Below are 14,160 nucleotides of genomic sequence, written 5' to 3'. Positions count from 1 at the left end.
AGACGGGGTTTCATCGTGTTAGCCAGGATGGTCTTGATCTCTTGACCTCATGATCCACCCACCTTGGCCTCCCAAAGTGCTGGGATTACAGGCATGAGCCACCACGCCCAGCCTCTTTTCTTTATTAGGCTGGCTAGCAGTCTATATATTTTATTAATCTTCAACAAACCAGCCCTGGATTCACTGATTTTTTGAAGGGTTTTTCATGTTTCTATCTCCTTCAGTTCTGCTCTGATTTTAGTTATTTCTTGTCTTCTGCTAGCTTTTGAATTTGTTTGCTCTTGCTTTTCTAGTTCTTTTAATTCTGATGTTAGGGTGTCAATTTTAGATCTTTCCTGCTTTCTCCTGTGGGCATTTAGTGCTATAAATTTTCCTCTAAACACTGCTTTAGATGTGTCCCAGAGATTCTGGTATGTTGTGTCTTTGTTATCATTGGTTTCAAAGAAATTATTCATTTCTGCCTTAATTTCGTTATTTACCCAGTAGTTATTCAGGAGCAGGTTGTTTAGTTTCCGTGGAGTTTTGTGGTTTTGAGTGAGTTTCTTAATCCTGAGTTTCAATTTGATTGTGCTGTGGTCTGAGAGACTGTTTGTTATGATTTCCATTCTTTTGCATTTGCTGAGGAATGTTTTACTTCCAATTATGTGGTCAATTTTAGAATAAGTGTGATGTGTTGCTGAGAAGAAGGTATATTTTGTTGATTTTGGGTGGAGAGTTCTGTAATTTCTATTAGGTCCGCTTGGTCCAGAGCTGAGTTCACATCCTGAATATCCTCGTTAATTTTTTGTCTCGTTGATCTAATATTATTTTCAGTGGGGTGTTAAAGTCTCCCACTATTATTGTGTGAGAGTCTAAGTCTCTTTGTAGGTCTCTAAGAACTTGCCTTACGAATCTGGGTGTATATGGGGTGCATATGTATTTAGGACAGTTAGCTCTTCTTGTTGCATTGATCCCTTTACCATTATGTAATGCCCTTCTTTGTCTTTTTTGATCTTTATTGGTTTAAAGTCTGTTTTATCAGAAACTAGGATTGCAACCCCTGCTTTTTTTTTTTTTTTTTTTGCTTTCCACTTCCTTGGTAAATATCCCTCCATCCTGCCAGACACGATTGCTCATGCCTATAATCCCAGCACGCTGGGAGGCCGAGGCAGGTGGATAGCCTGAGGTCAGGAGTTCGAGACTAGCCTGACCAACATGAAGAAACCCCATCTCTACTAAAAATACAAAATTAGCCAAGCATGGTGGCGCATGCCTGTAATCCCAGCTACTCGGGAGGCTGAGGCAGGAGAATCGCTTGAACCCAGGAGGCGGAGGATTTGGCGAGCTGAGATCGTGCCATTGCACTCCACCCTGGGGGGCAACAAGAGCAAAACTCTGTCTCAAAAGAAAAATATATATATATATATCCCTCCATCCCTTTATTTTGAGCCTATATGTGTCTTTGCACGTGAGATTGGTCTTCTGAATACAGCACACTGATGAGTCTTGATTCTTTATCCAATTTGCCAGTCTGTGTCTTTTAACTGGGGCATTTTGCCTGTTTACATTTAAGATTAATATTGTTATGTGTGAATTTGATCCTATCATTATGATGCTAGCTGGTTATTTTGCCCATTAGTTGATGTGGTTTCTTCATAGTGTCAACGGTCTTCACAATTTGGCATGTTTTTGCAGTGGCTGGTACCGGTTGTTCCTTTCCATGTTTAGTGCTTCCTTCAGGAGTTCTTGTGAGACAGGCCTGGTGGAGACTAAATCTCTCAGCATTTGCTTGTCTGTAAAGGATTCTGTTTCTCCTTTGCTTATGAAGCTTAGTTTGGCTGGGTATGAAATTCTGGGTTGAAAATTCTTTTCTTTAAGATTGTTGAATATTGGCCCCCAGTCTCTTCTGGCTTGTAGGGTTTCTGCCGAGAGATCCGCTATTAGTCTGATGGGCTTCCCTTTCTGGGTAACCTGACCTTTCCCTCTGGCTGCCCCTAACATTTTTTCCTTCATTTCAACCTTTGTGAATCTGACAATTATGTGTCTTGCGGTTGGTCTTCTCGAGGAGTATCTTTGTGGTGTTCTCTGTATTTCCCGAATTTGAATATTGGCCTGTCTTGCTAGGTTGGGGAAGTTCTCCTGGATAATACCCCGAAGAGTGTTTTCAACTTGGTTCCATTCTCCCCGTCACTTTCAGGTACACCAACTGAACGTAGGTTTGGTCTTTTCACAGAGTCCTGTATTTCTTGGAGGCTTTGTTTGTTCCTTTTCATTCTTTTTTCTCTAATCTTGTCTTCATGCTTTATTTCACTAAATTGATCTTCAATCTCTGATATCCTTTATTCCGCTTGATCGATTCAGCTATCGATACTTGTGTATGCTTCACGAAGTTCTTGCGCTGTGTTTTTCAGCTCCATCAGGTCATTTATATTCTTCTCTAAGCTTGTTATTCTAGTTAGCAATTCCTCTAAACTCTTTTCAAGGTTCTTAGCTTCCTTGCCTTGGATTAGAATGCTCCTTTAGCTTGGAGGAGTTTGCTATTCCCCACCTTCTGAAGCCTACTTCTGTCAATTTGTCGAACTCATTCTCTGTCCAGTTTTGTTCCCTTGCTGGCAAGGAGTTGTGATCCTTTGGAAGAGAAAAGGCATTCTGGTTTTTGGAATTTTCAGCCTTTTTGTGCTGGCTTTTCCTCTTCTTCATGGATTTATCTACCTTTGGCCTTTGACGCTTGTGACCTTCAAATGGGATTTCTGTGTGGATGTCCTTTTTGTTGATTTTGACGCTATTCCTTTCTGTTTGTTAGTTTTCCTTCTAACAGTCAGGCCTCTGAGCTGCAGGTCTGCTGGAGTTTGCTGGAGGTCCACTCCAGACCCTGTGTGCCTAGTTATCACCAGTGGAGACTGCAGAACAGCAAAGATTGCTACCTGTTCCTTCCTCTGGAAGCTTCATCCCAGAGGGGCACCTGCCAGGTGCCAGCCAGAGCTCTCCTGTATGAGTTGTCTTTCCACTCCTGCAGGGAGGTGTCTCTCCATCAGGAGGCACAGGGGTCAGGGACCCACTTGAGGCAGTCTGTCCCTTAGCAGAGCTCGAGTGCTGTGCTGGGAGATCCACTGCTCTCTTCAGAGCTGGCAGGCAGGAACGTTTAAGTCTGCTGAAGCTGCTCCCACAGCTGTCCCTTCCCCCAGGTGCTTTGTCCCAGAGAGTTGGTAGTTTTATCTATAAGCCCCTGACTGGAGCTGCTCCTTTTCTTTCAGAGATGCTCTGCCCAGAGAGGAGGAATCTAGAGACACAGCCTGGCTACAGAGGCTTTGCTGAGCTGTGGTGTGCTCCACCCAGTTCGAACTTCCTGGCAGCTTTGTTTACACTGTGAGGGGGAAACCGCCTACTCAAGCCTCAGTAATGGTGGACACTCCTCCCCCCACCAAGCTCAAGTGTTCCAGGTCAACTTCAGACTGCTGTGCTGGCAGCGAGAATTTCAAGCCAGTGGATCTTAGCTTGCTGGGCTCCGTGGGGATGGGATCTGCTGAGCTAAATCACTTGGCTCCCTGGCTTCAGCCCCCTTTCCAGGGGAGTGAATGGTTCTGTCTTGCTGGGGTTCCAGGTGCCACTGGGGTATGAAAAAACAAAACTGCAGCTAGCTCGGTGTCTGTCCAAACAGCTGCCCAGTTTTGTGCTTGAAAACCAGGGCCCTGGTGGCACAGGCACCCGAGGGAATCTCCTTTTCTGCGGGTTGCAAAGACACTGGGAAAAGAGTAGTATCTGGGGCCGGAGTGCACCATCCCTCATGACACAGCCCCTCAGGGCTTCCCTTGGCCAGGGGAGGGAGATCCCCAACCCCTTGTGCTTTCTGGGTGAGGTGACACCCCACTCTGCTTCAGCTCACCTTCTGTGGGCTGCACCCACTGTCTAACCAGTCCCAGTGAGATGAGCTGGGTACCTCAGTTAGAAATGCAGAAATCACTCGCCTTCTGCATTGATCTTGCTGGGAGCTGCAGACCGGAGCTGTTCCTATTTGGCCATCTTGCCAGCCAAGTTTGGACATTTTAATAATATAATGTGGCAACTTTGAAAATCAAATTCTACCCTCTCTTCAGGATTTGTTGCTGTTGCTATTCAGTAACTTTTCTGAATTAATTCCGTAAAGTTCGTATTATTTGTTTTGTGGGACTACTGAAGTCTCTGCTCAGGTTGGTAGTCAGCTAAAAATCAGACAAAGGTTTCCTAAATGCCTGGAAACTATAAGTCTCCTAGCCTTTGCCAAGGGGCTCTCTACCTTAAACATTCTGTGAGGCAGTTTACAACTTTGACTCAGGCTCCACTTCCTGCTTGCTCAGACTATCAAGGTTAGCCAAAGGTGAGAGCCTAGAGCCATCTCAAGTCTTCCCGGGAATTCACACAGCTCTAAGCTTGCACACAGTTTCCCAAGAATATGTCACAGCTTTCCAAAGCCCCCTATAAACAACTCATTACCCAGCTTTTCTTTTTCAGCTTTTTGATTAACCTATTATTTTGCCCCAACTGCCTCAGGTGGCAATTACTATTGATTGCTTTTGAAAAATGTCCTCAAAGAAAAGGTTGTTCACACGGGGCAAACTTCAAATCAGGTCAAAGACAGCCTTGTGAGTGGCATCTTTGAGGGAACCATGAGATATATCAAATGATGATAACTCTCTGGGAATGAGGCATTGAAGAAGCTCCAACTGTGTTCTGCTCCATCCAATGGCTTCCAGACAGCTGTTGGTTTTCAATGCTACTATGGAGCTGGATAGATTATGACAGGAATAGGGCAAAACACCACAAAGCTCCAAGGGAAATGAAAATACATGTCTGTGCAGAAACTTGTACATGGTTGTTTATAGCAGCATTACTCACAGTAGCTAAAAGGTAGAAAATTTAAATATCCATTACCTGATTAATGGATAAACAGAATGTTGTATATCCATAAAACAGGGTATTATTCAGCCATAAAAAGGAATGAAATACTGATACATGTTACGATGTGAATGAACCTTGAAAATATGCTAAGTGAAAGAGGCCAATCATAAAAAGCCACATATTGCATTATTTCATTCATATAAAATATGGATTAGTGGTTGTTTATGGCTGGGGGAATAGAGAGGTGACAGCTAAAAGGTAACATTTCTTTTTGAGGTAATGAAAATGTTCTAAAATTGACTGATGATGATGATTGCACATATGTGTGAATATTCTAAAAATCATTAAACTATACACTTTAAATGTGTGAATTGTATGGTATGTGAATTATATCTCAATAACACTTTTAAACACTGCCACAAAGCTTGCTGTTCTTATTAAGATTCAGCTGATTTTCTTGAATAAATGTTCACAGGACTGATATAAGCCTTTGGTAATTAGTGGAGTTCTGAAAAGTTGGCACTGACAATTTTTTCCAGTGTTCTCATTAATTTTTTGGAGGAATTTTCAGGTCCTTACGATGCCATTTTTGCTGACATCCTCCATTCACTTTTAATGCTCACTACAACAGTTTGTTCCAATCACCCTTAAATGAAAGACAGCATTCTGTTCTAAATGATAATGCTAAATATACCATTGTCTTCTCTTCAGTACTGTCATAGGTACCATAATCTATTTACCCCCAATATTCTTTCCAGTCTGTCTGATGCATTTCTTTTCTGTTTTCCTCTATACCTCCACCCTAATATCCCAGCTGAGAAGCAGACAGCAGTGGGTGATGTGGGGAATTACCGAAGAGCAGAAAATATTCCGCCATGCTTAATGTTTTACATTCCCCTGCTTTCACCTCCCTGTTTCTCCTCCACCCCCACTCTAGGTGTCCTATGTGAAAGCCATTGACATTTGGATGGCAGTTTGCCTGCTCTTTGTGTTCTCAGCCCTATTAGAATATGCTGCCGTTAACTTTGTGTCTCGGCAACATAAGGAGCTGCTCCGATTCAGGAGGAAGCGGAGACATCACAAGGTAGGCCTTTGGGTCACTGCCTAAGGAGGGACAGCTGTTAGTAAACAAAAGAGTTCTAAGCAGTATTGTCTTGTGTTATTTGTTTCAATGGTCCATCCTTCTCAATGTGCAAGGCAGGTTAGAAATAGGAATTAAAGACCTAGAGGTCTCAGCTTTCCCTCCCATAAATAATGCCCTAGGTGGGTCTATAGGCAGTCACTCTTCGAATCCTAACAGTAACACTACAGAAATTATCAAGTTATACCTAAAGGCGCAACTGATTAACTAAAAGCTGATGGGGTCAAGAAAATAACTAACTATAAACCTAAAAGATTGGGAGGTGTCCACTGGCTTTTTTCTGCAAGACTGCATTGTTTTAATAGGCTTGATTCCAGAAGACAATTGCACCACAAAAGGTGAGATCTTAACGTAGAATGCCCAGGTTCAGGCCTTTGCTTCCTGCCTCTAGGAAAGAGGCAACAAGCAAGATCTCTGCCAGAGTGGGTTCTCTCTCCATATGAGGGATTGAATAAAGGAATATTTGACAGGGCACCTCTGAGAAGTTACCAACCTCTGTTCACGAGGTTGTGCACTGACCAAAGAATGCCAATGGGGAGCATGCAGCCTGCTGGAGCAAACTGCTCCATACCGTGGGTCCATAACTAGTTCCCCAGAAGATCCAACCACCCTAGCTTTTTTCTTAGTTCTTCAAACATACACACAGGATTTTAAATATCTTGTTCTCTTTCCCTGTACTGCTCTTCCAGTGCACTGTGTGTCCTAGCAAATGCCACGTTCTACTTGAACTTAATTTCTAAACTTCTAAAAATGTATCCTGATTTAAAAGCATAAATTCAATGATGTGATTTTTTTAAAGCCGATCTCTTCCACCAAATCGCAAGCTCCATAAAGGCAGAGACCGTGTTTGGTTTTGCTCTGTGCTATATCCCTGGTGCCTAACACAATGCCTAACATATAGTGAGCATGCAATAAGTATTTGTTAAACAAATGAACAAAGGGATAAACAAAAGATTAGGTTGGTGCAAAAATAATTGCAGTTTTTGCCATTAAAAGCAATAAAGAAGAAGCCTTCAGACAGAGAGTCTGAAGTTTTTCCACTGACAGATTAGGGCAACCAGGGACCCACACATTATGACCTGTCATAGTGTTGCAGGTCACAGTACATACCTGCAATATGCCAGGTCCTACAAGCTTTAGACTGACCTATTTAAAATCGTTGTCTATTAATCAGTAAAGCTCAAAAATAAAATAAAACAAAACAAAATAGTTGTCTGCCCAGGCGCAATGTGCTGTGACAAAGGACCCTGCCTCTTTAGTTTTCTTTAGTATGAGACTTTGAGCTAGCCTACTTGGGCCCAGGTTCTTCATGTGCAAAATGCGTATAAAGGGAAATTCTGGTGAGAATTAAATCAGAGGATGCCAAAGTAGCTTTAAGTTTTGTTCCTGCCGCACAAGTGCCAAGGATTAAAATGATTACATATACACACATTTCCATCAGTATGTTTCTTAAACATCAGCAATCTGATTCAATTAACTTCTGGCAGTTTACCACAGGGAGGAGGCCGACGTTCCAATACAGAAGATGTCCATGGGAATTAAGATATCACCATCCTTCTAAACTACATTGAAGGAGGAAATTGTCTTGGGTTCAGCAAGCCAGATAGAACTTCTTAAATGACCCCTAGTTTTAGTTACTCTATATTGTCCATTTAATACCTAGCCTCTGATGCTTTAAAAAAAAAAAAAAAAGTCTATTTAAGCAACTGGCATGATGGCTTGTGCCTATAATCCCAACTACTAGGAAGACTGAGGTGAGAGGATTGCTTTAGCCCAGGAGTTCCAGACCAATGTGGGCAACATAGTGACTTTGTCTCAAAAAAAAAAAAAAAAACAGAAAGAAAGAAAGAAACTGACCAAACGTAAGTATCTCTAAGATTTTATTTTTCCATTTTCCCTATACACTAGCTGCTTTTTGTAATTTCATCTGCTAGAGACATTTGTTAAAAACACTGATTTGAAAAGATCATGTCCAAGATATTTTACTAGCACCAGCCCCTTTGATTGAGCACTGCACAGCTCCAGTAGATGCTGTTTGTATGGACTAAAATGGGAATGGAGCCTCCTGAAGATATGTAGTATGGTGGGCCTATGGTACTTTCAAAGGCTGCTTCTACGCTCCCTAAGTATCTACCAGTTTGACACACTAAAAGAAAACAAACACTATCTCTGGCCAGATAAAGTGTGAATAAGGCCACTAGCTAGATTTGATCAGATTCTCCTGCTCTGTTCCCTCCTTTGAAGATACCTCAGCAATCACCCTATCCACTCCTTCCATGCAACTGATGAGAGAGACCCACAATAGCAAGGCCAAGTCACCGGTATCATGAGGCACTGATGGCAAAGGCAGGAGAGGTGCTAAAAAACCCGAGGTTCTTCTCCAAACATTAACCATACCACCATGAGTTCTTATCTGTTCATCAGTGTGTCCATCCTGAAGCAGATAAAAATTGTCCTGCATTTATTAGATCTTAAATAAAAACTAAGCCTCATCCCATGGCGAAGGTCAAAAACTAGTAGCCGGAAGGCCAGATTTGGTGTGCAAATATCTGTACTTTGGCCTGGAGTGTTTTTAAAATCTGGACTTAAGGGGTCAGCATTTAAAAACCACACTTCTGGCTTCACTAGAAAAAAAATCACAGCATCCAGCCACACTGAATGTGCTTCCCATAAGGTATTGGTGCACTGGAACTGCCTTTAGGTAGGGAATGCATTTTCCAGTTAATACCATCCCTTCTAACCAGGGATATTTTTCAGCCCCAACTCACTTTACCACTCACATTTCTCCTGCCTGCCTCCTTCTATGCATTTGAATTAACGTAATCTCATTCATAAGGGCTCTTAAGTTGGCCCAAATGTCAGAAATTACAATGATGCAGAAGTGAGCTCACCATAAAGAATAGTTTCCTTAGAGTAAGCCGCTCTGGAAGTGATTTGTACCCTAGAGGTGTACAAGCTTCTTCTGCAGAAACTCTCTTTAACAGGAAGTTTGCAGAAGGGATTTTAAGTCCCAGATGGTGAGTGGAGAGGAACTAGCTACATGCCTGAATTTCTCAGAGCCTGTGATCTTGGACAGCTTTCCCAACTCCCACCATCTTCCCATGTTGCCTCATTTGTTGTGCACAAAGCATCTGGTTCTCGAATTCTCTGGCCAGCCTCCTTAGGCAAATTATCAGGAAACCATATCTGTGAGCACCAGACTCAGCAGGCATACTACTAGCAACTTCCCTGAGCTCCAGAGTACACTACCAGATTTCCCCTGCTCCAGCTCTAAGCAGCTCCAGATGCAGTTGGGCATGCATTTCCTGCCACCTGCTGGTTCCAATAAGAATAGCAAGCCTTTTACCAGTCATTCCTAGGGAATTTTTCTCCCAGACACAATATGAAATTGATAATCCTCTAGCTAGATGGGGCCTTCAATCCAAACCTCTACTCCTCCTACTCCCATGTTTAACAGATGAGAAAGGCAAAGAATAATTCACCCAAAGCAGCATAAAAAGTTAATTTGGTGCTTCCCCCTACGTAACTAGGTCCCAGTTTAAAATAAAAAATAAAAATAAAAATAGAACAACACCCCAGCTCCAGCAAGGGGAGATTTTCATTGAAATGCAATAGAGTCAGACTTAGACCCCCTTCTAAGTACTAGGTCCAGCAATTTGGCTGGCTCTCCCCAACTCCTCTCCTTGGCCCTGGCATTGAATCTTCTACTGTTGCCCTATTCATAGACAAGTACTTACTGAGCACCTGTTTGCCAGGCACTGTAGGTGGCACATCCTCTTCCTCCTCACTTTTGCAATGAAGATGTTGGACAAGATTCATTCATTTTCCAAGGATTTCTTCAGCATTTACCATATGTCTCAAACCCTTCTGGTGCTAAAAATACAACTCCATTTAAACAAACAACAACAACAAAAAAGGACACTAAAGCTGGTGAAGATATACAAGTAAACATTTGTTCAACAAACATATACCAAGTTTTGAGCTTATGAACCAGGGACTATGTTCATATGTTCAGTGTTGAGAGTGCAGTGAACATGACAGACTTTGCACGGAGCTTATAATCTAGTAAGAGACAGACGCTAATCAAGAAATTACCATACAATGTGATAAGAGCTTTAAAAAAAGACGGAGATATATACAGAGAGCTTATGGAGCACACAGCAGGAGCGGCTAGCCTATACTTGGGAGCTCAGAGAAGGCTTCTAAGGAAGAATTAGGTGAAAGAGGAGTTGGAGACAAGAGATGGGGTTCAGAGTGTGTTCTAGGCAGGGAGAACAACTTGCACAAAGGCCCAGAGTTCAAGAAAAGAACCATGACATTTTCAAATATAAGGAAATATTTCAGTGACTAAAGCATAGAACACCAGATAGAAATGGCACAAGATGAGACTGCAAAAGCAGGCAGGGTCCAGGTTCTAAGGCCTTGTTTATCATGTTCAGGATTTTAATTAACCTGAAGTCAGTGGCAGCCTATTAAAAGGTTCTAAGCAAAAGATGACCAAGATCTGTGTTATAACGACTCAGATGGGTTGGGTGGTGGGGGCAGATTGGAGGCTGTTGCAATGGTGGGCTGGACACAGTGGCTCACACCTGTAATCCCAGAACTTTGTGAAGCCGAGGCAGGAGGATCTCGAGGCCAGGAGTTCAAGACCAGACTGGGCAACATAGCGAGACCCCCATCTCTACAAACAAGATAAAACAAAACAAACAAATCAGAAGGTGGCCTACCCTACAGGAGAGATGGAGAGGCACCAGTGAATCCTATACTGAGTTTTTCTCTGTTGGCCCGGTCCTGCACAGGAACAAGCAGAAGACGGTGTTCTTTTCCTGAAAGCATTATCTAGTTGGGCAATGTGAGCTGATAAAACTTCCCAATGCCAACATTGAATCAACAGCTGAGACCAAAACATTAGACTCTCAATTCCTCCTCAGAGCTCACATGCAACGATAACAAAGCTGGACATGAGGAGAGCAGACAATAGTGCCTCCATGATTCAGACCAGGGCAAGACCACCATGACCTGGGAAAGAGATGAACTAGAAGGATCAGGGCAGCAGGCATTTTGGTAGTGAGCATAAGGAAGGGACGTGAGAAGGCACAAGAGAAAATGTACAAACCTGGAGGGCTGCAAAGTATCTGGTGGGGGAGAAGGAAAGCCTGGAAAGGTAAGTTGGAGCCAAATGATGAAGGGTCTTGAATGAAAACTTAGTAAAAATCCAGAGGTCTGTCTGAAGTTACAACTGCCAGGGATGTGGGAACGTAGAGGCAGGAAGAAGCTGTGGCTTCCCTGGCTTGTAGAACGGAAGTGAGGCCCAGAGCTCCTGCTCCATCCTGGCCCATAGCCATCCCCCTTACCACCCACTCCTGGGAGTTATTAACTGGGGAATGGGATGGGGAAGAGGGCAAGGAAGCAACAGAGGCAAAGCAGGGGATCTGTCCAAATTGTCCTCTGAATTTCTAACTAAAACCCAGTACAACCTTGAATATGTTCTCAATTATAACCTCTGATGGTCAAAAGAAACTTGTGGAGTAGTGGGGAGAATCTTATCCCCCAGGTAGAAGAAAAAATGAAATAAAAATCCCCGAGACTCACAGAAGGAAATTACTTGCCTATGGTCATACAACCAGCAATTGATAGAGCTGGGACTTGAACACAGGTCTCCAGACTCTAAACCACATTCCTATCCCCTGTTTTGCATCTGTTTCAGCAGGCAAGTGGCGCCCCTCTATAAGGCAGAACTCCCCAGCCAGCCAAAAAGCCTCCAGAAACCTAGAGTGATGCAGTCTGGAAAGCAGGGAGAACCAGATAGGCATGGCCTGGCCCCCAAGGGAGTGCCTTGCAGGGAGGGTGCCTAGCCCCTGTCTTATTTTAAGTAGAGCCCCATGTTGAATCTATTCCAGGAGGATGAAGCTGGAGAAGGCCGCTTTAACTTCTCTGCCTATGGGATGGGCCCAGCCTGTCTACAGGCCAAGGATGGCATCTCAGTCAAGGGCGCCAACAACAGTAACACCACCAACCCCCCTCCTGCACCATCTAAGTCCCCAGAGGAGATGCGAAAACTCTTCATCCAGAGGGCCAAGAAGATCGACAAAATATCCCGCATTGGCTTCCCCATGGCCTTCCTCATTTTCAACATGTTCTACTGGATCATCTACAAGATTGTCCGTAGAGAGGACGTCCACAACCAGTGAAGGGTCTGAAAGGTTGGGGGAGGCTGGGAGAGGGGAACGTGGGAATAGCACAGGAATCTGAGAGACTAAGGAAGAGAAGGGGAACGGAGGGAGGGGGCACACTTACACAACTCTCTCTGCAATATGTGCAATAGCAAAATGCAGTGATGCATGAATTTTACAATGTGGCACTATTTAACCTCAGATGGGCTGTGGGCGGGGGGTCAGGAGGGACTTTTCTAATACAGCAACTGAGGGCTGGGAGGAAAGGAGGGGGTAAGGGCAGGGGGTGGGGGATTGGGGAAATAATAGCTTTCAAAAATCTGTCCATGGGCTGTGCAGTTTTCCTGTTTGGAAGGAGAGCGCAGTCTGCCCCAGAGCAGAAAGAAAGTAATGTAATATATGATATATATTCATGCTTAATATTAATGCAAAACCCCAAAAACAAAAGATTTGTTTCTTAACCTATCAGCCTAGTAACTGCTTAAATTTTTAAAGTCACGGAAGTAACGGACAATTTTTCCCAGAGTGGAAACAGTCACAAATAAGCTTGCTCTGGTGTATGTCCCATATCATACCCCTCCAAACGCCATACCTGTCTTCAAACTGACCCAGGCGGACACATGCCAAAAAGCCATTTTGCCTCTGCTTCAAGAGGGCTGTGTGGTATGGGAATGGGTAGTGGAAATGGGGACAGGTAGAGAGACGAGAAGGGAGTGACTAAAGAGACGGACATTTCAGAGGCCAAGGATTGAGAATGTAGGTAACCCCAGCTCAACCCTCACATCTCAAGGCTGAGGACCACAATTGCCCCTCTCTGAGCCCTCTTGCTTCTGTGCTTCAACAACGCCCCACTCACCCTTCACCAGCACCCAGAAATGGCCAATGTGGTTTTCTCATTATATTGCCAATATGCAATCTTTTTTATGGTTAAAAAAAGTAATAATCTTGAAAGATAATATGCAGATAGACTGAGTGTAAACAGGTACTTTTTTCAAATGACTATTTTTTTGGAGAGTCTCTTTGGAACTGCAACTGAGTGCATGTTTGGGAAGGTGGGGTCAGTGGTGTGAAATATATTTATTATCTAGTGGTTCTACAGAGTAAAGTTTTAAGAGGTGAAAGGGCAGTGTTGAGTCTACTGCCGATTAGGTATAAATGGGTGGAGAGAGATGGTAATGTGGTAATGTTTAGAAAATGTTTGTTATATTTTGACATATCATATATCATAATGTGCAAAGTTTGGGGGGCTGACCCCGTTATATTTTTGTAAGTCTGTTTTTTTTCCTTTTAGGTGCTTTAACATTTAGGAAAGTTAGACAAGTATTTCTCTTTCCTTTTAATTCTGAAGTGCCAGAATTGTCCTGGGACAGGTAGGGCACTCCAGAAAAAAAGAAGGACCAGCAGACGAATTTAGTTTGGGGGTGGGGTGGGTGGGCATGGTCCTACTGACAGAAATGGATATCACAGATGGGAGGTCTGCAAGGTGGAGACAGCAGGCCTCTCTGTCCAATGTCAACAGCACTATGCCTGAAATAATGGCACCATTGTCTGAAGCATTTTCCCTGCTTTGGCCCATGGCCAGAGTACTGGGGTTCCATTTCTTTCTTTGCACTTTAGTGTCTGAGCTTTGGATCAAAGGTGTATGTAGAATGTTGAGATAGCTGACAATCAGTTTGTACTGAGGCCTGGGGTTTCACATGTGTCTTTTAAAAATCTCCAACTTAAGGCAGGATGGAGGAGGAGTGGTAAGCAGAGAAGAGACACTGGAAGCCTAACTTTTCCCTAAAGCACCTTCCCATAGAGGATTTTCTCCCATTCCCACAGCACAATAACTAATACAGGCCTAAAGTAGCAGGTCATGGCAAAGATCTAAAGAGATTTACATAAGGAAAATGCACTATGCAGCCAAAAAAGGGTTTGGCTTTGAGGCTTGAATGGTAAAGGTGTTTACATCCAGGTCCGGGGAAAATAAATTATTGCCTTCCCTTCTCT

At 43.4% G+C, this 14,160-nt stretch overlaps 1 protein-coding gene across 4 annotated transcripts in view, besides 2 other annotated features; it reads left to right on the top strand.

Moving 5' to 3' along the window:
• Positions 1–12,346, top strand: part of GLRA1 (glycine receptor alpha 1) — a 102,339-nt gene extending 89,993 nt beyond the window's left edge. For 2 of the 4 annotated variants that reach the window (NM_001292000.2, NM_000171.4), the window contains 2 exons: positions 5,792–5,938; positions 11,896–12,346. In NM_001292000.2, the coding sequence (NP_001278929.1) occupies positions 5,792–5,938; positions 11,896–12,186 (438 nt within the window). In that variant the 3' untranslated portion in view covers positions 12,187–12,346. Of the gene's footprint in view, positions 1–5,791; positions 5,939–11,871 lie in introns of all 4 variants that reach the window. The other 2 variants (NM_001146040.2, XM_047417105.1) reach the window with 2 other exon arrangements.
• Positions 13,557–13,851: an enhancer, noted in NCBI's record as "tiled region #2380; HepG2 Activating DNase matched - State 5:Enh". NCBI's record gives its function as "activates a minimal TATA promoter and a strong SV40 promoter by Sharpr-MPRA in HepG2 cells {active_cell/tissue: HepG2}" and the evidence as "EXISTENCE:reporter gene assay evidence [ECO:0000049][PMID:27701403]".
• Positions 13,557–13,851: a silencer, noted in NCBI's record as "tiled region #2380; K562 Repressive non-DNase unmatched - State 18:Pol2". NCBI's record gives its function as "represses a minimal TATA promoter and a strong SV40 promoter by Sharpr-MPRA in K562 cells {active_cell/tissue: K562}" and the evidence as "EXISTENCE:reporter gene assay evidence [ECO:0000049][PMID:27701403]".

Source organism: Homo sapiens, chromosome 5, assembly GCF_000001405.40.
Source record: "Homo sapiens chromosome 5, GRCh38.p14 Primary Assembly".
In the NCBI taxonomy this organism is placed as follows: domain Eukaryota; kingdom Metazoa; phylum Chordata; class Mammalia; order Primates; family Hominidae; genus Homo; species Homo sapiens.
Note: the sequence above shows the minus strand (reverse complement) of the source record. Positions and strands in the feature narration are given on the sequence as shown.